Genomic DNA, 24,707 nt, shown 5'->3' with positions numbered 1-24,707 from the left:
CTGCAGAAAGCCCTGCTTCACAAAGACAGGATGTTGGAAATGGCAGCAAGCTTTTCGATGCGCTTGTATCAATCTTAGGATATTCTGCCTTGACTTTAATATAGAAGGTATCGTGATTTGAAGTTGTCTCAAACATACTTTTAAGGTCACTGTCATTTGTGATCTCAACCAGTTGACCCATCTGGCTTATTTGGAAATGGTTCACAGACCCATTCCTTCCCAGTTTGGGGGTCTTTTGTGGTTGGAAGTAATGCTTAAACTCTTTTGAAAGCTAAGATAAGTGATCATGCACCAGGCCCTCGCTTAGTCTCTTTCAAAATCTCTGCTAATGTTTGAAACATGTCAGAAATTCCAATGTTCACTCGTCACTCACATAATTCCATTTTGGCTTTGAAGGCAGCCACTTTATTTGCCTACTTGAACACAGTTGTCATTCTCCCCTAAAGTGACAGATTGAGTCTGTTGAGCAGGTTGAATATGTTGCACAAGTAAGCAAATTTTGTGACCCATTCTGTGTCACTGAAATGTGCAGCCAGTGGTGACTGTTTTTCTAAAAGAAATCTCTGGTGCCGCTCTAGTAACTCAAAAACTCTGGCCAGTGATCTACCTTTAGAAAGCTATCTCACTTCTGTGTATAAGAGAAGACATGTGTGTTCTGTGTCCATCTCCTCATGCAGCTGAGCAAACAGATGTGAGTTAAGGGCATATACTTTAATGTGGTTGATAATTTTAATCACATTCTGCAAAGCGTTGTTAAGTTCAGATGACATTTTTCGGCTAACCAGCATATCTCTATAGATGACACAGTCCATAGACTTACATGCAGAAGCTACCTCTTTGGTCTAAGCAGTGAAACCAGAGAGCCATCCAGTCATGGTAGCAACTCTGTCCATGCACATATTGACACAAAATGACCAATTCAGTTTTTCTGATATGTGATCATTCAACGGCTTGAATAGTTCTGTAGCTGTGGTGTTGTTTGGCAACAAAAGTTCACATAACACATTCTCATGCCCATCCTCCTGAAAAATATATCACACAAAACAAGCATTGTTGCCTTATCGTCAACATTGGTAGACTCGTCAACCTGGATTGTGAACCACAGTTACTCATTAATCCTCTCTAACAATTGTGCCTCAATATCCTCTGTTATTTCATCAATTTGCCTGTTATGATCCTAGCCAAAAGGGGAATATGTGCCACCTTGTGAACCGCAGCCTCTCCTAAAAGTTCACAACAAATGTCCTTAGCAGCAGGCAGGATCAACTCTTCACCAATAGTAATGGGATTCTTAGGTTTAGAAATGTGGTTAGCTACTAAGAATGATGCTCTCAGTGCAGACACATTTGATGAAGTGTTGGCCTTCAATAATTGCTTCTATTCTTCATGTTCACATTGTTTTTCTTTTGAAAAACTCCAAAGGCAGGGTGCAGGTCTTCATATGGCAAAGCAGTTTTGAAGGCTTCATGGCTTCATTGGATATCTGGTCACCACGTACTATATAAGTGGGCTTGGAGAATGTGAATCACCTGTTGCAATGAACTCGTAATTTAAGTAGGACTCAGTATTTTCTTTTAAATGCAGCTTTCTTTTTGTTGGCAGTCTTAGAGTCTTCTTCTGTCTCATCACTGGGTCTTTCCCCTTTTCAAAGAAACTCTCCAGTGGCATTTGTTTTTTTTTTCTGATTTTGGCTAGGGTTAGCTTGTGGACTTACCAAAACTGTGACTGAGACAAGTGTTCAGTGCAGGAAAGAGGCACAGATGGAAGTGGCAAATAAAATAATAGACCACATGCAGACTAAAATAAGTGTCAGATTCGTACTTAAAGCCCGCCACCAGATGCAGTTTAATTGTCACTTACTACCTACTGATAGGGTTTTGATATGAGTCTGCAAGCAATTGATTTATTATGGTCTCTGTTCAGTCAAACCTCTCGCTAATGTTAGTCTGAATTAGCAGCCACTCCCCAGTGCTAGCATCACTGCTTCAGCTCCACCTCAGATCATCAGGCCTTAGCATCTCATAAGGAGCACCCAACCAAGATCTGATGGCATTGCATGTGCAGTTCACAATAGGGTTTGCGATCCTGTGAGAATCTAATGCCACTGCTGATCTGACCACAGACAGAGCTCAGGTAGTAACGCAAGTGATGGGGAGCGGCTGTAAATACAAATGAAGCTTTGCTTGCTCGCCTCCTGCTGTGCAGCCCAGTTCCTAACAGGCCTGCACTACCTCATCCACTCACACTCACACGGGAGCTGTGCTACCAGTTCAAATCAAAATCAATCCCACAAGAGAAGCTCTGGCTCAGATGTGGGTTTCTTTCTGAAATCTTACACAAACATCAATTTCAAGAAGTAGCATATCCATGACCGTCTCCACATATCCTTGGACGTTATTTCCAATATTCCTCATATCCTTTTCCTGCTTTGACACCTACCTGCAAGAGGATTGATTTACTTTCTCAACCAGGCAAAAGAGGACAAACTGTTTCATTCAGGCTCTTGTTCTCTTACTCTTGCTCCTGCCTTATCTGAATTCAGATCTCTTTTCTAAGAAAAAGGTATTTCTGCTTTCATGCAATTATTGTAATAAATGATCTCATGTGCTGGACACTTCATGAGCATGTTCCCAAAATTTACTGTCCTATTACTTCCTTTGAAGGTTATCTGCAAAGTCAAGATTGGATCTTTTGGAAATTCTTTTGTCTCCCTTGACTTGGGTAGAGCAGGAAGGAAGTTAATTACTTCTGTTGTGTTCTCAAGATAAGGGCAGTCACAATCCCAGGTCCAATAACCAAGTAGCACCACCTGATATTTTGCTGTTTACCTTCCCAAACTTGAAATCAACAATTATATATTTTTATTTTTATGTATTTATTTAGAGATTGGGGTCTTACTCTGTCATCCAGGTTGGAGTGCAGTGGCACAATCATGGTTCGCTGTAACCACAAACTCCTGGGCTCAAGTGATCCTCCCACCTGAGTAGTTATGACTACAGGCACATGCCATCACACCCAGCTAATTTTTTTATTTTTATTTTTTATAGAGATAGGGTCTCACTGTGTTGCCCAGGTTGGTTTTGAACTCCTGGGCTCAAGCAATTCTCCTGCCTTGGTCTCCTAAAGTGCTGGGATTACAAGCATGAGCCACTGTGCTCAGCCTGAAATCAACAATTTTAGAAGACCTTCATATCCTTGATATTAACTTCATCAAATGGAAATATTTCTTCTCACTGGAAAGTCACAGTTGCATATTTCTGTACTACCAACCTGCACTGCCTAGTGGGGGAGCAGATACTTACTGAACACCTCATCTACCTCCACCTGCCACCCCTGAGCACATCTCACATGAGTATCTCTACACCTCATTCAGATGCAGCAGGGAAAAAATGTATTATGAGTTTCAAATATACTTGGTTTCACAAACATGTGGTCCCACACATGTGAGCCCTCTGTGCCATTTATTTTGTCCCTCTCTCCCATTCTCTACTGTCATTATTCCAAACCTCTCTATGTCCCCTGAGCCTGTCCTTGCCTCCTAATTTTTGCTCTCAGAGGATGATCTTGCTAGCTCCCTTGCAGAGAACTTGGAGGTTGGAGGCTAACAGACAAACTCCCTCAACTTGCTGACTGATCACCTCCTGCTTTCTCACAAAACCTTCCTATGTACACCTTTCCCTTAATCCATGCCCTCCATCCTCAGAAGAACAGATATTCCTTTCCTTCTTCTCTTATTCAAGGTCAATGCCTCCATCTGTGCCATTTCCATTCTGGACTTTCAGACTCTTCATCACAAGATCCTACTTAACAGCCTTTAAAAAAGTATATGTTGCTGGGCGTGGTGGCTCACGCCTGTAATCCCAACACTTTGGGAGGCCGAGGCAGGCAAATAACTTGAGGTCAGGGGTTTGAGACCAGCCTGGCCAACATGGCAAAACCCCATTTCTACTAAAAGTACAAGAAATTAGCTGGGCATGGTGGCACATGCCTGTAATCCCAGCTACTCGGAAGGCTGAGGCAGGAGAATTGCTTGAACCGGGAGGCAGAGGTTGCAGTGAGCGGAGATCACGCCACTGCACTCCAGCCTGGTCAACAGAGCAAGACTCCATCTCATACAAAAAAAAAAGTATATGTCTTGCCTATTATGAATGTAGAGAGAAGGAAGAGAAAGAAGGAAGGAGACACAGACAGAGGGAGGGAGGGAGGGAGGGTGGGATAAACTCCTCTAGCTATTGTCCTGTGCCACTCCTCAGACAGGCTGCTCAGGAGACTTGTCCTCATGTCTGGAGCTTGTCATGTTTCACTCTTAATGAGCAAACTGCCTTTTGCTCCCACCATTCCACTAAAGATGCTTTTGTTAAGGTCACCAGTAACTTCTCAATTGCCACGCCCAATGGATACTTTCCATTCCTTATCAAACTTGACCTTTATGAAATATTTGATACTGTCTCTTTAAAAAATACTTCCTAATTTCCAGGACACCACACACTCCTGGTCCTCGTCCACATCCTTGACAGTTTCTCATCAGAATCTTTCATTGACTCTTTTTTTCCACTTGCTCCATAAGCATCTGTCCTGACTCTTGTTTTCTTCTCACTCTATACCTTCTTCCAATGATGTCCAGGCCTCATTAGCACTTTAGTGGCTCCTTTCCCCTGTGCTAGAGACCACTAGAACCTGTACAAGCTGCTTCACCCATTCTCTGCAGGTCAGGGAATTTCTCTGGGCAGTATCTTTCACCCACTGATCAGAACCTTCTTCTTTCATTTGGTTGCCGTCTACTTCCTGGTACAAGGGTCCTTGCTCTCTGCTAAGCCTCTTTGCATGTATGACTTATTTAGAAGATCAGCCTGGCTTTTGAGTCCACTGTGACAGGAACAAAAACATTAATGGAAGAGCCCTTCCAACCTTTCCCCAACTCCTGGCCTCTAAAACAATCCTCACTTTGCTGGCATCATTTCTTCTCCTTTCTCAGTCTTCAGAAAGCCTCTTCTTGCCTCACCAGACTGGAAATCTTCTTTTCAAACATTTCCAAAGACTTCTTTGAAATCTTTGCAGATTGCAAGATATAGAATAAGGAGAAAGTGGGAGGGAGGTAGAGACAGGCGATGTGGGGGCTAGGACTAGAAGAAGGCTTTGCAGAATGTGCAGGAGTGTTGGAGGAGCAGTCTGTGATGAGAGAGAAGTAAACGGGAAAGAGATGAGGTTTTAAGTGTTTCTATGGTCTATGTATTCATTCAAAATATTAAAGAAACCCAAGCAAAAATAAAATAAAATAAAATAACTTTAACTATTTTAACAGCGCTTACTGGGTTTGGGCAGGTTTTCTTTGATGGCAGTTCTGCTCTAAAGATGGATAAGGAAGGAGGTTCCAAGATGGCCGAATAGGAACAGCTCCAGTCTACAGCTCCCAGCATGAGCAACGCAGAAGACAGGGGATTTCTGCATTTCCAATTGAGGTACCTGGTTCATCTCACTGGGGCTTGTTGGACAATGGGTGCAGGCCAGCAGGTGCAGCCCATTGAGCATTAGCCAAAGCAGGGTGAGGCATCACCTCACCTGGGAAGCACAGGGGGTTGGGGAATTCCGTTTCCTAGCCAAGGGAAGCCGTGACAGACAGAACCTGGAAAATCAGGTCACTCCCACCTTAATACTGTGCTTTTCCAACGGTCTTAGCAAACAGAACACTAGGAGATTATATCCCATGCCTGGCTTGGAGGGTCCCACACCCATGGAACCTTGCTCACTGCTAGCATGGCAGTCTGAGATCCAACTGCAAGGCAGCAGCGAGGCTGGGGGAGGGGTGCCCGCCATTGCTGAGGCTTGAGTAGGTAAACAAAGCGGCCAGGAAGCTCCAACTGGGTGGAGCCCACCACAGCTCAAGGAGGCCTGCCTGCCTCTGTAGACACCAACACTAGGGGCAGGGCATAGCTGAACAAAAGGCAGCAGAAACTTCTGCAGACTTAAACGTCCCTGTCTGACAACTTTGAAGACAGTAGTGGTTCCCCCAGCACGGAGTTTGAGATCTGAGAACCGACAGACTGCCTCCTCTAGTGGGTCCCTGACCCCGAGTAGCCTTATTGGGAGGCACCTCCCAGTAGAGGCCAACTGACACCTCATAACGACGGGTGCCCCCCCAGTGAAGCTTCCAGAGGAACAATCAGGTAGCAACATTTGCCGTTCTGCAATATTTGCAGTTCTGCAGCTTCTGCTGGTGATACCCAGGCAAACAGAGTCTGGAGTGGACCTCCAGCAAACTCCAACAGACCTGCAGCTGAGGGTCCTGACTGTTAGAAGGAAAACTTACAAACAGAAAGGTCATCCACACCAAAACCCCATCTGTACATCACCATCATCAATGACCAAAGGTAGATAAAACCATAAAGATGGGGAAAAACCAGAGCAGAAAAGCTGAAAATTCTAAAAATCAGAGTGCCTCTTCTTCTCGAAAGGAACGCAGCTCCTCGCCAGCAACAGAACAAAGCTGGACGGAGAACGACTTTGACGAGTTGAGAGAAGAAGGCTCCAGAAGATCGGTAATAACAAACTTCTCTGAGCTAAAGGAGGATGTTCAAACCCATTGCAAAGAAGCTAAAAACCTTGAAAAAAAGATTGGCTAACTAGAATAAACAGTATAGAGAAGACCTTAAATGACTTGATGTAGCTGAAAACTGTGGCACAAGAACTACATGATGCATGCACAAGCTTCAGTAGCCGATTCGATCAACTGGAAGAAAGGGTATCAGTGATTGAAGATCAAATGAATGAAATGAAGTGAGAAGAGAAATTTAGAGAAAAAAGAGTAAAAAGAAATGAACAAATCCTCCAAGAAATATGGGACTATGTGAAAAGACCAAATCTACGTCTGATTGGTATACCTGAAAGTGACGGGGAGAATGGAACCAAGTTGGAAAACACTCTGCAGGATATTATCCAGGAGAACTTCCCCAACCTAGAAAGGCAGGCCAACATTCAAATTCAGGAAATACAGAGAATGCCAGTAAGATACTCCTCGAGAAGAGCAACTCCAAGACACATAATTGTCAGATTTACCAAAGTTGAAATGAAGGAAAAAATGTTAAGCGCAGCCAGAGAGAAATGTCAAGTTACCCACAAGGGGAAGCCCATCAGACTAACAGTGGATCTCTCAGCAGAAACTCTAGAAGCCAGAAGAGAGTGGGGGCCAATATTCAACATTCTTAAAGGAAAGAATTTTCAACCCAGAATTTCATATCCAGCCAAACTAAGCTTCATAAGTGAAGGAGAAATAAAATCCTTTACAGACAAGTAAATGCTGAGAGATTTTGTCATCACCAGGCCTGCCCTAAAAGAGCTCCCGAAGGAAGCACTAAACATGGAAAGGAACAACTGGTACCAGCCACTGCAAAAACATGCCAAATTGTAAAGACCGTCGAGGCTAGGAAGAAACTGCATCAATTAACGAGCAAAATAACCAGCTAACATCATAATGACAGGATCAGATTCACACATAACAATATTAACCTTAAATGTAAATGGGCTAAATGCTCCAATTAAAAGACACAGACTGGCAAATTGGATAAAAAGTCAAGACCCATCAGTGTGCTGTATTCAGGAAACCCATCTCACATGCAGAAGACACACATAGGCTCAAAATAAAAGGATGGAGGAAGATCTACCAAGCAAATGGAAAACAAAAAAGAAAGCAGTGGTTGCAATCCTAGTCTCTGATAAAACGGACTTTAAACCAACAAAGATCAGAAGAGACAAAGAAGGCCATTACGTAATGGTAAAGGGATCAATTCAACAAGAAGAGCTAACTATCTTAAATATATATGCACCCAATACAAGAGCACCCAGATTCATAAAGCAAGTTCTTAGAGACCTACAAAGAGACTTAGACTCCCACACAATAATAATGGGAGACTTTAACACCCCACTGTCAACATTAGACCGACCAATGAGACAGAAAGTTAACAAGGATATCCAGGAATTGAACTCAGCTCTGCACCAAGCGGACCTAATAGACATATACAGAATTCTCCACCCCAAATCAACAGAATATACATTCTTCTCAGCATCACATTGCACTTATTCCAAAATTGACCACATAGTTGGAAGTAAAGCACTCCTCAGCAAATGTAGAAGAACAGAAATTATAACAAACTGTCTCTCAGACCACAATGCAATCAAACTAAAACTCAGGATTAAGAAACTCACTTAAAACCACTCAACTACATGGAAACTGAACAACCTGCTCCTGAATGACTACTGGGTACATAACAAAATGAAGGCAGAAATAAAGATGTTCTTTGAAACCAGTGAGAACAAAGACACAACATACCAGAATCTCTGGGACACATTTAAAGCAGTGTGCAGAGGGAAATTTATAGCACTAAATGCTCACAAGAGAAAGCAGAAAAGATCTAAAATTGACACCCTAACATCACAATTAAAAGAACTAGAGAAGCAAGAGCAAACACATTCAAAAGCTAGCAGAAGGCAAGAAATAACTAAGATCAGAGCAGAACTGAAGGAGATAGAGACACAAAAAACCCTTCAAAAAATCAATGAATCCAGGAGCTGGTTTTTTGAAAAGATCAACAAAATTGATAGACAGCTAGCAAGACTAATAAAGAAGAAAGAGAGAAGAATCAAATAGACACAATAAAAAAATGATAAAGGGGATATCACCACTGATCCCACAGAGATACAAACTACCATCAGAGAAAACTATAAACACCTCTATGCAAATAAACTAGAAAATCTAGAAGAAATGGATAAATTCCTGGACACATACACCCTCCCAAGACTAAACCAGGAAGAAGATGAATCTCTGAATAGACCAATAACAGGCTCTGAAATTGAGGCAATAATTAAGAGCCTACCAACCAAAAAAAGTCCAGGACCAGATGGATTCACAGCTGAATTCTACCAGAAGTACAAAGAGTAGCTGGTACCATTCCTTCTGAAACTATTCCAATCAATAGAAAAAGAGGGAATCCTCCCTAACTCATTTTATGAGGCCAGCATCATCCTGATACCAAAATCTGGCAGAGACACAACAAAAAAAGAAATTTTAAACCAATATCCCTGATGAACATCGATGCAAAAATCCTCAATAAAATACTGGCAAACCAAATCCAGCAGCACATCAAAAAGCTTATCCACCATGATCAAGTGGGCTTCATCCCTCGGATGCAAGGCTGGTTCAACATACACAAATCAAAAAACGTAATCCAGCATATAAAAGGCCTTTGACAAAATTCAACAACACTTCACGCTAAAAACTTTCAATGAATTAGGTATTGATGATATGTATCTTAAAATAATAAGAGCTATTTATGACATACCCACAGCCAATATCATGCTGAATGGGCAAAAACTGGAAGCATTCCCTTTGAAAACTGGCACAAGACAGGGATGCCCTCTCTCACCACTCCTATTCAACATAGTGTTGGAAGTTCTGGTCAGGGCAATCAGGCAGGAGAAAGAAATAAAGAGTATTCAATTTGGAAAAGCAGATGACATGATTGTATATTTAGAAAACCCCATTGTCTCAGCCCAAAACCTCCTTAAGCTGATAAGCAACTTCAGCAAAGTCTCAGGATACAAAATCAGTGTGCAAAAATCACAAGCATTCCTATACACCAATAACAGACAAATAGAGAGACAAATCATGAGGGAACTCCCATTCACAAATTGCTTCAAAGAGAATAAAATACCAAGGAATCCAACCTACAAGGGATGTGGACCTCTTCAAGGAGAATTACAAACCACTGCTCAAGGAAATAAGAGAGGACACAAACAAATGAAGAACATTCCATGCTCATGGATAGGAAGAATCACTATCATGAAAATGGCCATACTGCCCAAGGTAATTTAGAGATTCAATGCCATCCCCATCAAGCTACCAATGGCTTTCTTCACAGAATTGGAAAAAACTACTTTACATTTCATATGGAACCAAAAAAGAGCCCGCATTGCCAAGACAACCCTAAGCCAAAAGAACAAAGCTGGAGGCATCACGCTACCTGACTTCAAACTATACTACAAGGCTACAGTAACCAAAACAGCATGGTACTGGTACCAAAACAGAGATATAGACCAATGGAACAGAACAGAGGCCTCAGAAATAACACCACACATCTACAACCAACAGATCTTTGACAAACCTGACAAAAGCAAGAAATGGGGATAGGATTCCCTATTTAATAAATGGTGCTGGGAAAACTGGCTAGCCATATGTAGAAAGCTGAAACTGGATCCCTTCCTTACACCTTATACAAAAATTAAATCAAGATGGATTAAAGACTTAAATCTCGGACCTAAAACCATAAAAACCCTAGAAGAAAACCTAGGCAATACCATTCAGGACATAGGCATGGGCAAGGACTTCATGTCTAAAACACAAAAAGCAACGGCAACAAAAGCCAAAATTGAGAAATGGAATCTAATTAAACTAAAGAGCTTCTGCACAGCAAAAGAAACCGCCATCAGAGTGAAGAGGCAACCTACAGAATGGGAGAAAATTTTTGCAATCTACCCATCTGACAAAGGGCTAATAACCAGAATCTACAAAGAACTTAAACAAATTTACAAGAAAAAATCAAACCCCATCACAAAGTGGGCAAAGGATATGAACAGACACTTCTCAAAAGAAGATATTTATGCAGCCAACAGACACATGAAAAAAATGCATCATCACTGGCCGTCAGATAAATGCAAATCAAAACCAGAGTGAGATACCATCTCACACCAGTTAGAATGGTGATCATTAAAAAGGCAGGAAACAACAGGTGCTGGAGAAGATGTGGAGAAATAGGAACACTTTTGTACTGTTGGTGGGACTGTAAACTAATTCAACCATTATGGAAGACAGTGTGGCAATTCCTCAGGGATCTAGAACTAGAAAAACCATTTGACCCAGTCATCCCATTACTGTGTATATACCCAAAGGATTATAAATCATGTTGCTATAAAGACACATGCACATGTATGTTTATTGCAGCACTATTCACAATAGCAAAGACTTGGAAGCAACCCAAATATCCATCAATGATAGGCTGGATTAAGAAAATGTGACACATATACACCATGGAATACTATGCAGCCATAAGAAGGATGAGTCCATGTCCTTTGTAGGGATATGGATGAAGCTGGAAACCATCATTCTCAGCAAACTATTGCAAGGACAGAAAACCAAACACCACATGTTCTCACTCATAGGTGGGAATTGAACAATGAGAACACTTGGACACAGGGTGGAGAACATCACACACCAGGGACTGTCGTGGGGTGGAGGGAGGGGGGAGGGATAGCATTAGGAGAGATACCTGATGTAAATGATGAGGTAACGGGTGCAGCACACCAATATGGCACATGTATACATATGTAACAAACCTGCACGTTGTGCACATGTACCCTAGAACTTAAAGTATAATAAAAAAAATTAAAAAAGATTTGAATTTCAGATTTAAAAAAAAGATGGATAAGGAGTTTTTCAAGCATATCACTCCTCTCCCCAAGACTCTGACCTGTGGATTCTCTCTTGAACACTACCCCTACAACCCAGGCTTCTTAATATTGCTGGTTTGAAGCCATCCTGTGTAAGAGGGAAGATCCAAGTGCTCATCTGGCCCTAGAAATAAGGCTCTGGGTTCTGAGCCTGAATCTCCAGGTCAGTTTTCTCTTCTGAGTTCCAGAACACTACAATGAACTGTTTACAAGACATTTCATGCAGACATTTCAAAGAACTCTCACACTCAACTCGTCCCAATGTTATCTCTTTATCTTTACCATCTCCTCTTATGTCCCTCAGTAAAGGACATCAGGCTCAGCAAAGCAACTCAATACAGAAAATTGAATGTCATTCTTTTCTTTGCTATGCCTTCTCCTGCAGATGGTCACCAAGCTTCTTCCACTTCTTAAATATACAGAGATGCTGAACAACTTGACATTTCCTGAACTCTTGAAGTTCTGAATTTGTTTACAATGCCATTGAGCATTCTGTTGATTTTGCACTTGATGTCTTTCCATTTTATTCATCTGTTAAACATTAGATGATGCCTAAATTTCTCTTCTTTGAAGCCTTCCTTGATTGTCCCAAGTAGACCTGATCACTTTCTCCTTTGTACCACCTTGAACTTACTAGCATTAAGACAGTTTCACAGTGTGCTACAATTATTTTTGTATTCAACAGTTTCTGCTCCTAGACAATGAAATATTTGAGGGAGAACACTGTATCTTATTTTTAAATCTCTAGCACCCAGCTCAATAAATAAACATTTATTAATTACTTGATTCAATAAACAATAAATTTATGAGGTAGTTAGGAACCCAAATGTAAAGATAAGAAAGAGAGTCTTCCTGAAGTTAAGTAATTTGCCCAACGTTACACAGCCTCTAAGTCAGGGAGCGGGTATGAACCTGGCCTGTACTACAAAGTCCACGCTTTTCTTTCACAACAATCACACTGTCTCCTAGCTGGCCAAAGCTCTAATCTTGTAGTTTAGAAACTTATGTAGAAATTTTCCTTGCTGACGGTGATAATGTTGTCTCTTTATGGTGACATTTTAAGGACATTTCCTTGGAGGCATCTCAGGGATATAAGAAGCATTTCAACAATTAAGTATGCAGTGCATATCTTTATGCTCATCTTTGAAGTTTCCCCATGTTGTTCAAACTTTTTAGGACTTTCAGCAATTACTTGACAAATCCTGGGTGATGACATTATTAGGAAGTAGGTCAAAATTAGACTCATCTGTCTCCACCTATTATCATTCAGGGAAGGCCAATCTTCAATGGCAAGGGGTGCCTTGGAACAAGAGTAAGTGGAAGAGTTTATTTTGAAAGGAATTAAGGGGCACAGCAAACTGTTGGAGGAATGATGTTTTGTGTTCAATAAACCCTCACAATTACTTAGCAAGGACCTCCCTGTGGACTTCCCAAAAGCCAAGTACAGTAGCCACTGATACCTAGTGAATACCTTTTTTTTTTTTGGCATGCATTTCTGAACCTGTATTCGACTCATCTTCTGTAATTGCTGCCTACGGCAATGTGACATGTGATGTCTGAACATATATCTCAGGATAGAAAAAAGAAATGTTGGCAGCCCACATTCTTTTTAAAAAAACCAGTTGCTCCTCCCCTGTTAGAGGACAGAGAGTAAGTGAATCAAATTCATCTTATTTGTTTTACTTGGTCAGAATAACTTTTAAAAATTATTTCATCTGACCAGAATTCAAGGTAATATAGGGTCATTTTTAGTCATTTAAAAGTTGTACCACTTTCCTAAGTAGTGAAGGATACTTGTATTCTCCACAAGCAGAGTACGAGGACAGATGTGGCAATCACCACAGATCAAAATCATTAATGTCTTTTAAAACATGCATGGCCCCTTTCCTTCAAAGAGCTAAGTCTCCTTACAAAATCTTCGTTGCCAAATAGACATTAATCTTTCTGACACCCAAGGAGAAAGGTGAAAGTGTATGCTTTTTCTTTTTTCTTTTTTTTTTTTTGAGATGGAGTCTCACTCTTGTCGCCCAGGCTGGAGTGCAATGGCGCAATCTCAGCTCACTGCAACCTCCACCTCCCGGGCTCAAGCTATTCTTCTGCCCCAGCCACCCGAGTAGCTGGGATAACAGGCGCTCGCCACCACGCCTGGCTAATTTTTTGTATTTTTAGTAGAGACAGGGTTTCACCATGTTGTTCAAGCTGGTCTCGAACTCCTGACCTCAGGTGATCTACCTGCCTTAACCACCCAAAGTGCTGGGATTACAGGCGTGAGCCACTGCATCCAACCAAGTTTGTGCTTTTTAAACACAACTTAATTATTTGGGGGAAGCCGTCACAGTTCACTTTCAGATGGAGGATGTAGGGAGGATGGAGATTCTTATTAGTTTACTCCACCAACACTTACTAAGCACTTTCTATGCATCAGGCACCGTGCTGTGTGTTAGCAACACAGAGATTAGAGAAATGAATACCATCTCTACTCTCAACAGACTTCCAGGAGAGTGAGAGGTCCTAGCAATTATACACTGACTGATGAGGGCCACAAGGCCACAGTACCAAGACCATGCACACTGCAGGGGCGCCTTGTGGAAGGGATGGGGATGAAGGGAGACTGCACAGAGGTGGGTCTTGACAACAAATAGAAGGTAGGCCAAAAAGAATATTAAAGGCAGAAGCAGCAGCTCTGCCTTTCATAAATAAAGAAGATGGCCAGGTGCAGTGGCTCAAGCCTGTAATCCCAGGGAGCAGATTGCTTGGGCTCAGGAGTCAGAGACCAGCCTGGGCAACATGGCAAAACCACATCTCTACAAAAAATACAAAAACTTAGCCAGGCATGGTGGTACACTCCTGTCATTCCAACTACTCAGGAGGCTGAGGTGGGAAGATTGCTTGAGCCCAGGAGGTGGAGGTTGTAGTGAGATCGTGCCATGCACTCCAGCCTGGGCGACAGAGCGAGACCTTGTCTCAAAATAAACAAACAAACAAACAAACAAACAAATAAATAAATAAAGCCCTTTAGGAAACTGGAAGGATTTCAACATGGCTGAAGTAGACACATGGAGGCAAGAAGTGGTAGTCCCGTGAAGGGCATGGCCAGGGGCAGAGAGCAGACCAGGTAGGACAAAGGTATGAGCAGGGAAAAGGGTAGAGAGGGGGCTCATGAAGCAGCCTCCCCAGCTCCATGTCTAGCTCTAACGGATCAGAATGCCTCTGGGGAACACAGGCATTTCCCTGGTATGCCCTCTTCTTAGCCACAGCCCTCAGAGAGTTGCCACTTCAGAGTTCACAAAGCCTGTTCTCCAGTGTCTCAGGGATTCTAAGAAGCAGTAAAACTAGTCTCTTCCCATGTCCCCTCTCTAGAAAACCTTTACCCAGGAACCTGTGGCTTCCAAATGGGAGCAGACCTTCCAACTACTGTAGGCCTTTACTTTTTTATCAAGGCCAGCCACCTTCAGCCATCCAAAAGCTATGTTGCCCCCCACTATGGAATAACACCCTGCATTGCATCACTGTGGGAGTGTGCACCCATCAGGGGGACCGAACGCACAGTCTCCGACCTGTATCTCCTAGCCCATTGCTTCTGAGGGTTGTTTAGTAAATCCTCACATACATATTGACTCTCCTGAATTATTATTTAATGATAATGGATTGATGTTCAATAAATACTTACAAACAATCATTACAATCAGGCTCTACAGTGAGAGAAAAACAAAGGAAGGAGAAACGAAGCAGAGAGGAGTAAGGGAACAGGAAGAATGTGGAAGAAGTAAACATTAATATGAGCTTCTTGAGTGCTTACTAAATCATGAGTCCCAAGCTTATCACTTTATGTACCTTATCTCATTTAATATTTTTGAGGGCTTCATTTGGTTTTGTTTTTTTGGTTTCTTTTTGAGACAGAGTGTCACTCTGTCACCCAGGCTGGAGTGCGGTGACACCGTCATGGCTCACTGCAGCCTTGACCTCCTGGGCTCAAGCAATCCTCCTGCTTCAGGCTCCTGAATAGCTGGAAACAAAGATACACATCACCACGCCTGATTAATTTTTCATTTTTATTAGAGGTGTGATCTCTCTGTGTTGTCCAGGCTGGTCTTGAACTCCTGGGCTCAAGCAATTCTCCCATCTCAGCCTCTCAAGTGTTGGGCTTACAGGCATGAGCCACCGTGGCGAGTTTCATTTAATATTTATGGCAACCTATGATATACATTATTACTCTGTTTAGCAAGTAAGGAAACCAAGGCTCAGAGAAGTTGAGTAACTCTCCTCCAGCCAAGGGAATGGTTTTCTGACCAGAGACCAGGGTCCTTATTTGTTACGTTTAGCTTCTGGTAAGAGAGGGAGGGGTCTTAGGCTTCTTTGTAGAAGCTTTAGTAACAGTTCTTCCTTGAGAAAAAATAGCAGGAGATTCTGCCTTATGTTTTAATAACTAAAGATAAAAGTTTAAATCTTGCTTGGGACACTAAAAATACTCTGTGGATCCAGCCCCTGTTCAATGACCTATGCCATTTTCCCTGGGCATTCTAGATCATCATCACTTCCCAGACCTGACCCCTCACCACCCTTGCTCCAATTATCCTGATCTTTGTTTATAATCCTTTTATATCCATGTTGAACAGTGACCTCCCAGGAATGACAAGTGTGTTTACACTTTTCAGGGCTCTCTGGCTTAGCAGGGAAGTCAAAGACTAGAATCTGGTGTCTAACATATGATACCACGATAAATCCCCAAATTCAATGTATGCTTTCCCATGGAGTAGGCTTGAAACTTCCCATTAGATATGAAAAAAACAAGTGTCAACAGAATTATCCATGAATGAGTAGTGAGCTGCTTTAAAAGCATTAATTCATAAATGCACTTTGGCTATTTGAGTGTCAAAAGCCCCATTAAAAGATGCATTTAAAGATTAAGCATGAGTGTGTATGAAGACCCCTGCTTTTGCTGCACATAACCTGAGTATGTAGTTTTATGATTCATTCTATGTATCTAGGAGGCAGCTGTTCTGTCTTATTTAGCCGACAGATAAAATATTGTGGAGTAAGTAAGCAGTAACATATTTTAGAATAGGTTAATGAAGATCAAAAGGGTATGTTAAAATGAGGAGTATGTACTCCCATGTCACAATGTTTGTAAACAGAAGGTCAGTTTGTATTTAAGTCCAATAAAATTAAATATACCAGGCTATTTTCTTTCATAATTAAAAAAATTATTTTTAGGAGACTGAGACCATCCTGGCTAACATGGTGAAACCCCGTCTCTACTAAAAAAAAAATACAAAAAAATTAGCCAGGCATGGTGGCAGGCGCCTGTAGTCCCAGCTACTCAGGAGGCTGAGGCAGGAGAATGGTGTGAACCCAGGAGGCGGAGCTTGCAGTGAGCTGAGATCCTGCCACTGCATTCCAGCCTGGGCAACAGAGTGAGACTCTGTCTCAAAAAAAAAAAATTGTTTTTATAGATTTGGGGGCACAAGTGCAGTTTTGTGACAAGGATACGCTGTGGAGTGGCGAAGTCTGGACTTTTGGTGTAACCATCATCCGAATAGTGTACCTTGTACCCATTAAGTAATTTCTCATCCATCATCCTGCTCTCACCCTCCCACATTTCTGAGTCTCCAAAGTCTATTATTCCAGTCTCTGGGTCTAAGTGTACACATTATTTAGCTCCCACTTATAAGTGAGAACACGCAGTATTTTGACTTTCTGTTTCTGAGTTACTTTACTTAAGATAATGGCCTCGAGTCTGTACATGTTGATGCAGAAGACATGATTTCATTCTTTTTATGGCTGAATAGTATTCCATGGAATTTATATGTATATACCACATTTTCTTTATCCAATCATCTATTGATGGACACTTAGATTGATTTCATATCTTTTCCATGGTGAATAGTGCTGCAATAAACATGAGTGCAGGTATCTGTTTTACATGCTGATTTTTCTTTTGAGTAGATACCCAGTAGTGGGATTGCTGGATAAAATGGTAGTTTTATTTTTAGTTCTTTGAGACATCTCCATACTGTTTTCCATAGAGATTGTATTAATCTGCCTTCCCACCAACAGTGTACGTGTGTTCCCTTTTCTTCATTGCAGAACACAGGAGCTATGTGGAGAGTTGATGGAGGGACATTCCAGGCAGAGAGAACAGCAAACACAAAGGCCTTGAAGGGTGAGGCTGCTTGGCATATTTGAGGGACCTTGAGGATGAAATACTTGGGATTTAAATCTCAATCAACCATAAATATGGTTTTCCATTCTTTTAATTTTTCATAGTTTCTCATTATTTTAATTTTCTCATTAAGCAGAAAAATGTTTTTGTTTCAATCTATGTTAAAAACCTGTTTCCTTCCAGGAGCGGTGGCTTACATCTGCAATCCCACCACTTTGGGAGGCTGAGGCAGGTGGATTGCTTGATCTCAGGAGTTCGAGACCAGCCTGGGCAATGTGGTGAAACCCAGTCTCTACCAAAAAATACAAAAATTAGCCGGGCATGGTGAGCATGCCTCTGGTCCCAGCTACCCAGGAGGCTGAGGTGGGAGAATCACTTGAGCCTAGAAGGTCAAGGCTGCAGTGAGCCGTGATTGAGCCACTGCATTCCAGCCTGGGTGATAGGGTAAGACCTAGTCTCAAAAAAAAAAAAAAAAAAAAAATCCAAGTTTCCTACTCTCTGTAAATACTACATAACCAACTCACTTTAATTTTTCATTCTTTTGTTAGTGTTTCCTCCATGCCAGGCACATGCAGACGCTGTTAGGGGCTAGACACGTGTGGCAAACATTACAGACACATTCCCACCTCCAAGGAATGTAGAGTGTTGAAGAATTTGCAATACCTCACAATCTTCATTTTCATGATCCAGTGCAGATTTAGGAGCTAGGATTGAGAATTCAGTCAGAAAGAGAGATGGGAGAGCACTGAGTGGAGGAGCAGGAGGGCCTTGTGGGGAGATGGGCTCCAGCCTCAGAGGAGAGAGAGGAAGAGGCAGGGGAGCAGACAAGCAGGCCAAGGGGTCCACAAACTACTAGGTTTGCGCCCCAGGAGGTGGGAATTCTAGCCAAGTACCTCAGGCAGCTGCAAGGGGCTTATGTGAACGGCAGCAGACATCCATGGCAAGAAAGGAGCTGAGACAGCCTGTGTCTTGGCCACTGCCCTCAAGGTTTGGTGTTGAGAGTTTTCAAGCATTGTTGTCAGGGCCAAAGGACAACATCTCCCTTTTTCCGTTGTGCCCAGGCCACAAGTTGAAAAGGCAAAGGCAGGATTGAACCGCATTGCTCACCACAGAATTTGGGTGATGCCTGCTCGTTGAGTTGGATCGCCTGGTTCCTGACTCATTACCTGAATTGGACCCCATCTGCCTTCCAGCACTGGGCCCTCCTCACCTCCCAGGCATCTCCTGGCCCCATCGTTCTCATCCACACTGCCAGTTGCTGCTTTCATCTGCATCCTCTTTCCTCAGCCTTCTGCTACCCACCCCTCGCCTCCCACCCCCCACCCCCACCAACTGACAAGTACTCTCGTTGTAGAAAGTGCCAGAGCACAAAGCAATGACATTTCCAGTAAATCTCTCAGTTCAGGTGGATTTCAAATTTGTTTCTTTCTTGCGGGAGAGTGCCTAGAAAAATCCAAAACATTTGGTCTTTCATTTCAATTCAAATGTGAATAATCAAGATTTTTCATGATTGTTGTTTGTTTTGGAGGATCTTTTTCCTTGAGCAGCTCTTTCTCTATTTATGTTTTTTAAAGAGGCATACTTTCTTCCCTGTACATGGATACGTAGGTCATACACCTTTTTATGAGCAGTGGATCGTATAACTCCATACATGAACATACCTAGTATGCATTCATAACCATCCTTATCTGTGAAAGGACAACAGTATTCAAAATGTAAGCCAAAGTAGAATGTGAATGCTGGGCTCAGGACATTATATATATTTTACACAAAGTAAAAGAAATCTGGTAGCTGGGCCAGGCACCGTGGCTCACGTCTGTAATCCCAGCACTTTGGAAGGCCGAGGCGGGTGGATCACCTGAGGTCAGGAGTTTGAGACCAGCCTGGTCAACATGGTGAAACCCCATCTCTACTAAAAATACAAGAAATTAGCCGGGCGTGGTGGCACGTGCCTGTAATCCCAGCTACTCGGGAGGCTGAGGCAGGAGAATCTCTTGAACCTGGGAGGCAGAAGTTGCAGTGAGCCGGGATCACGCCACTGCACTCCGGTCTGGGAGACAGAGCCAGACCCTATCTCAAAAAAAAAAAAAAAGGAAAGAAAGAAAAGAAAAAAAAGAAAGAAATCTGTTAGCTGGCATTCATATGATTAGTTCCAGTGTTTGAAGCCTATTGCTTGTTTCTCAGCTGCCTTGACAACCTGGTGTACAGATAAACTCTCTTTGAGGAGATGAAACCCTTGGAAAGAAGGCCAGATGCTCACACTGACTTAACAAAACTACACTATTATAAGGAGGATTGCATTCACCTTGTTCTATCCTCCTAACATTTTTTTTTATTTAAGTATATTTTTATTTTGTGGGCTCAGAAAGTTTTCTTGTTAATAACTTTTTTCAATAATTGTGTGTTTTAAAATAAACACATTATACTCCATGCAGAAAATTTGAGAAACTTAGATATTCCCTTTACTTCTGAAAACCTTACCTTCTCAACCTCCAGCTGAATGATGATGTGCATGGGATCAACCCTTGTATAACACAAGCTTCACATAATTTTAAGAGAGGTTCCTTAACCTAGGGATGTGGCAAAGGATTTGTTGAGAATGACAACTACATCTAGTTTATTAAACAAGTAACTTGAATGTAAATGTATAGGTGATTCTGGATATGCTGCTTCTTTCTCACTCTGAAGTTGGTGGTAACACCTAGTGTGGTTGTGGGAATTGTATCAGCATTATCCAGCTTAGATTCCCTTCTTCCTGGCTTGGGGGTATACTTCTGGGTGTTTTTATCCTTCTTGGCATGGAGTGTTAATTTCTTATTTTGGGGCACTGATATGCTTTGGCTGTTTGTTCCCTCCAAATCTCATGTTGAAATATAATCCCCAATGATGGAGGTGGGACCTGGTGGGAGGTGATTGGATCATGGGGTTGGATTCCTCATGAATGGCTTAGTGCCATCCCCATGGTGACGAGTGAGTTCTCACTCGGTTAGTTCATTCAAGATCTGGTTGTTTAAAAGAGTCTGGGACCTCCCCCTTCTCTTTCTTATTCCCACTCTCACCATGTGATACACCTTATCCTGCTTCATCTTCTGCCATGATTGGAAGCTTCCTGAGGTCCCAATCAGAAGCAGATGCTGGCACCATGCTTCGTGCACAGCCTGCAGAACCATGAACCAATTAAACCTCTTTTCTTTATAAATTACTCAGCCTCAGGTACTTCTTCATAGTGATGCAAAAAATGACTAATACAGGGCCATTATTACCAAACCCCAAAATTTTCAGGCCTCACTTTTGACAAGTACAGACCATAAATATGTGATCATTTGCCTCTCTGAAACACTCTATACACCCTATTTTAAGAAAGACCATTGCACTTCCTATGCAAAATATATCTTAGGGAGCAGCACCAGAAGGGGCATTATACTTTACGTCCAATATCCCGTAGGCTCCATTTTATCTGCCCCCGTAGGCCTCCACTGAACATACTGCTGTCTCTACCTCAAACCCAACATCTAAACTTGAACTAAGCAACCGCTTCATAAAACTAGCTCCCTTCTTGATTTCCTACTTCGGTTACACATTTTCCCAGTCATTAGGCTTAAACCTGTAAAGCCATCTTCAATGCTCCTTTTTGGTCCTCTGTCAGTCAACATGTCACAACCACTTTGAATGTCATCACATCCCTTGTACTACTGCTCCATTTTGCTTCTAGAAAAATTATCATAATTAGTGTCAAAATGTGGATTCAATAATATGTCATTATGGGGGCTGAGTGCTAAAAGAAGAGTAGTTTAGAGTATCTGGTTTACTCAACTATATTAAAGATTCTTGTCTGGGAAACATTACACTTATTCTTGAAAAGTTGTTAAAATTTCTCTTGTTTGATTGTAGAAAATATTCAGGTTTTTTCCTTCCTTTTCTTTTTCCTTCCTTCTTTTCTTTTTCCTTCCTGGTTTGATGGAGAAAAGAAGAGGGAGAGGGAATTGCTTTTTTGATGTCCTGGAAGTGACAGAAAGGTTAACGTTCTCTCTTTTACTTAGTTGGACAAACGAAGATGGTGGCTTTAATAATTAGAAGCTGCATTTTGGTTGTTCTAGGGCCTGGAACAGATGTACTATTAACTGGTAGTCATAAAACTCAGGGCTTATTGTTTACCTGGATTCCAGCAGATCCCTTCACAGAGATGTTATGTCTTTTACTTTGTTCCAGAGTGTGCTTAGGGGGTTACCAAGTCAAATTGGCCAACCCACAAACTGTTGAACTTTAGTCCACAAAGCAGTAGCTATAGAAACTGAAAGGGTCATTTAGAAAGGCCATGTTCAGTTAAAGACATCTGTGGTTAACACCAAAAAAGAAAGAAGGAAAGCCCGTTGACCCTCAATCCACTCTATGAACAGTTTTACTTCTGTTTCTGAACAGTGAAGTGTAAACCATTTTCAAAGCAAAATGTCTCTGAACAAAAGAAGTTATAATGCAACCACAGCTACCAAGGTCAGACTGAGCTCCCCCTTTGGATAGGCAAATGATGTTTGAGCCTATGCACCTTTGACTAATGTGGCTAATAATCAACACTTTTCTAAAAGTTCTTGTAAAAATATAACTCCCTAAAATATTTCAGTTCTGACATTTATGAGGAACATCAGTTTCTAAAAGGAAATACAGTCACATTTGCTTTACAACACTTGTCACATGTTTAACCAGGGTAGATTTACAAGCTCAGTGTCTTAGGCATATGCTTTTAAAAGCCAAAGTTCGATCTTAAATCTATCCCAATGTGGATAAGAAGAGTGACCATATTTATAACAAACCACTGAAAAGCCAGGAGCAGACAGGAAGCATGAGAAGAAGGAGAAAGCTAGTGAGGGTATGTGAAGTGGGGGGAGGGCGCAAAATGAGAGTCAAGTCCTCATTCCTTCCCACAGCTCCCAAGATTCCTTCCATCAAAAACACATAAGCCCAGTGCCAAGCACAAGCGTGGGTGTGGGTGTGGGCATGTGAGTATGGCAGTGTGTCCAGAATATAGGAGACTTTCCCTTTAGGATCTTGCAGTCTCATGAGGGAGACTGATGTAGATCACTAGTCATGATGAAAAGGTGGCCTTGACAGATATGTAAATAGCTTTCTGATACACAGCAAAAGAGCAGGGGCAGAAAGTTTCCTTCCCCCTGGAAGGAGCAGGGATGTTCTGATGGAGATGGTGAGACTTGAGCAGGGTCTCGAGTGATTAGTAGGACCAAGAAAGGTAGGAGATGAAAGAAAAGGAGGCAACCAGACGTGGTGACATGGGCTGTTCCCAGGGAATAGCAAATGAATTGCACTTTTAGGATGCAATTTGCATGCGGAGTGTATTCATTGATTTTCATGCTGCTGATAAAGATATACCTGAGACTGGGCAATTTACAAAAGAAAGAGGTTTAATTGGACTTACAGTTCCACATGGCTGGAGAAGCCTCACAATCATGATGGAAGGCAAAGAGGAGCAAGTCACATCTTACGTGGATGGCAGCAGGCAAAGAGAAAATGAGGAAGTTGCAAAAGCAAAAACCCTTGATAAAACCATAAGATCTCATGAGACTTATTCACTACCATGAGAACAGTATGGGTAAAACTGCCTCCATGATTCAATTATCTCCCACCAGGTCCCTCCCACAACACGTGGGCATTATGGGAGTACAATTCAAGATGAGATTTGGGTGGGGACACAGAGCTAAACCATATCATTCCACCCCTGGTTCCTGCCAAATCTCATGTCCTCACATTTCAAAACCAATCATGTCTTCCCAACAGTCCCCCAAAGTCTTAACTCATTTCAGCATTAACTCAAAAGTCCACAGTCCAAAGTCTCATCTGAGGCAAGGCAAGTCCCTTCCGCCCATGAGCCTGTAAAATCAAAGGAAGCTAGTTATTTCCTAGATACAATGGGGATACAGACATTGGGTAAATAGAGCCATTCCAAGTGGGAGAAATTGGCCAAAACAAAAGCGCTACAGGCCCCACGCAAATCAGAAATCCAGAGAGGCAGTCAAATCTCAGAGCTCCAAAGTTATCTCCTTTGACTCCATGTCTCACATCCAGGTCACATTGATGAAAAGGTAGGTTCCCATAGTCTTGGGAAGCTCTGCCCCTGTGGCTTTGCAGGGTACAGCCTCCCTCCCAGTCACTTTCATGGGCTGGTGTTGAGTGTCTGCGGCTTTTCCAGGTGCACAGTGCAAGCTGTCGGTGGATTATGACAGCTTCACTGTCTGGGGGACAGTGGCCCTTTTCTCACAGCTCCACTAGGCAGTGCCCCAGTAGGGACTCTGTGTGGGGGCTCTGACCCCACATTTTCCTTCTGCACTGCCCTAGCAGAGGTTCTCCATGAGAGCCCCACCCCTGCAGCAAACTGCTACCTGGGCATCCAGGCATTTCCATACATCTTCTGAAATCTAGGTAGATGTTCCAAAACCTCAATTCTTGACTTCTGTGCACCTACAGGCTCAACACCACATGGAAGCTGCCAAGGCTTGGGGCTCGCACCATCTGAAGACATGGTCTGAACTCTACGTTGGCCCTTTCAGCCATGGCTGGAGCAGCTGGAACGCAGGGCATCAAGTCTCTTGGCTGCACACAGCTCAGGGAAGCTGGACCTGGCCCATGAAACCACTTTTTCTTCCTATGCCTCCAGACCTGTGATGGGAGGAGCTGCCATGAAGACCTCTGACATGCCCTAGAAACATTTTCCCCATTGTCTTAGGGATTAACATTCTGTGCCTTGTTGCTTAAGTAAATTTCTGCCTCATTGTCAGGCTGCAAATTTTCTAAACTTTTATGCTCTGTTTCCCTTTTAATACTGAATGCTTTCAACACACCCAAGTCACATCTTGAATGCTTTGCTATTTAGAAATTTCTTCCACCAGATATCCTAAATCATCTCTCTCAAGTTCAAAATTCTACAAATCTCTAGGGCAGGGGCAAAATGCCACCAGTCTCTTTGCTAAAACATAACAAGAGTCACATTTGCTCTAGTTCCCAGTAAGTTCCTCATCTCCATCTGAGACCACCTCAGCCT

General features: G+C 42.3%; 1 long non-coding RNA gene across 6 annotated transcripts in view; it reads left to right on the top strand.

Moving 5' to 3' along the window:
- The window catches only part of LOC105375883 (uncharacterized), a 41,410-nt gene extending 17,192 nt beyond the window's left edge, over nucleotides 1-24,218 (top strand). For 4 of the 6 annotated variants that reach the window (XR_929008.3, XR_007060944.1, XR_007060947.1 and 1 more), the window contains 3 exons: nucleotides 5,323-5,459; nucleotides 17,584-17,659; nucleotides 24,134-24,218. This is a non-coding gene — a long non-coding RNA (uncharacterized LOC105375883). Of the gene's footprint in view, nucleotides 1-5,322; nucleotides 5,460-17,583; nucleotides 17,660-17,842; nucleotides 17,879-24,133 lie in introns of those variants that run through there. The other 2 variants (XR_007060945.1, XR_007060946.1) reach the window with 2 other exon arrangements.
- Nucleotides 24,219-24,707: the final 489 nt, after the last annotated feature.

The sequence above is a fragment of the Homo sapiens genome, chromosome 8 (assembly GCF_000001405.40).
Source record: "Homo sapiens chromosome 8, GRCh38.p14 Primary Assembly".
Taxonomy (NCBI): Eukaryota; Metazoa; Chordata; class Mammalia; order Primates; family Hominidae; genus Homo; species Homo sapiens.
The sequence above is the reverse complement of the archived record's forward strand: the minus strand, read 5'-3'. Positions and strand labels throughout refer to the sequence as shown.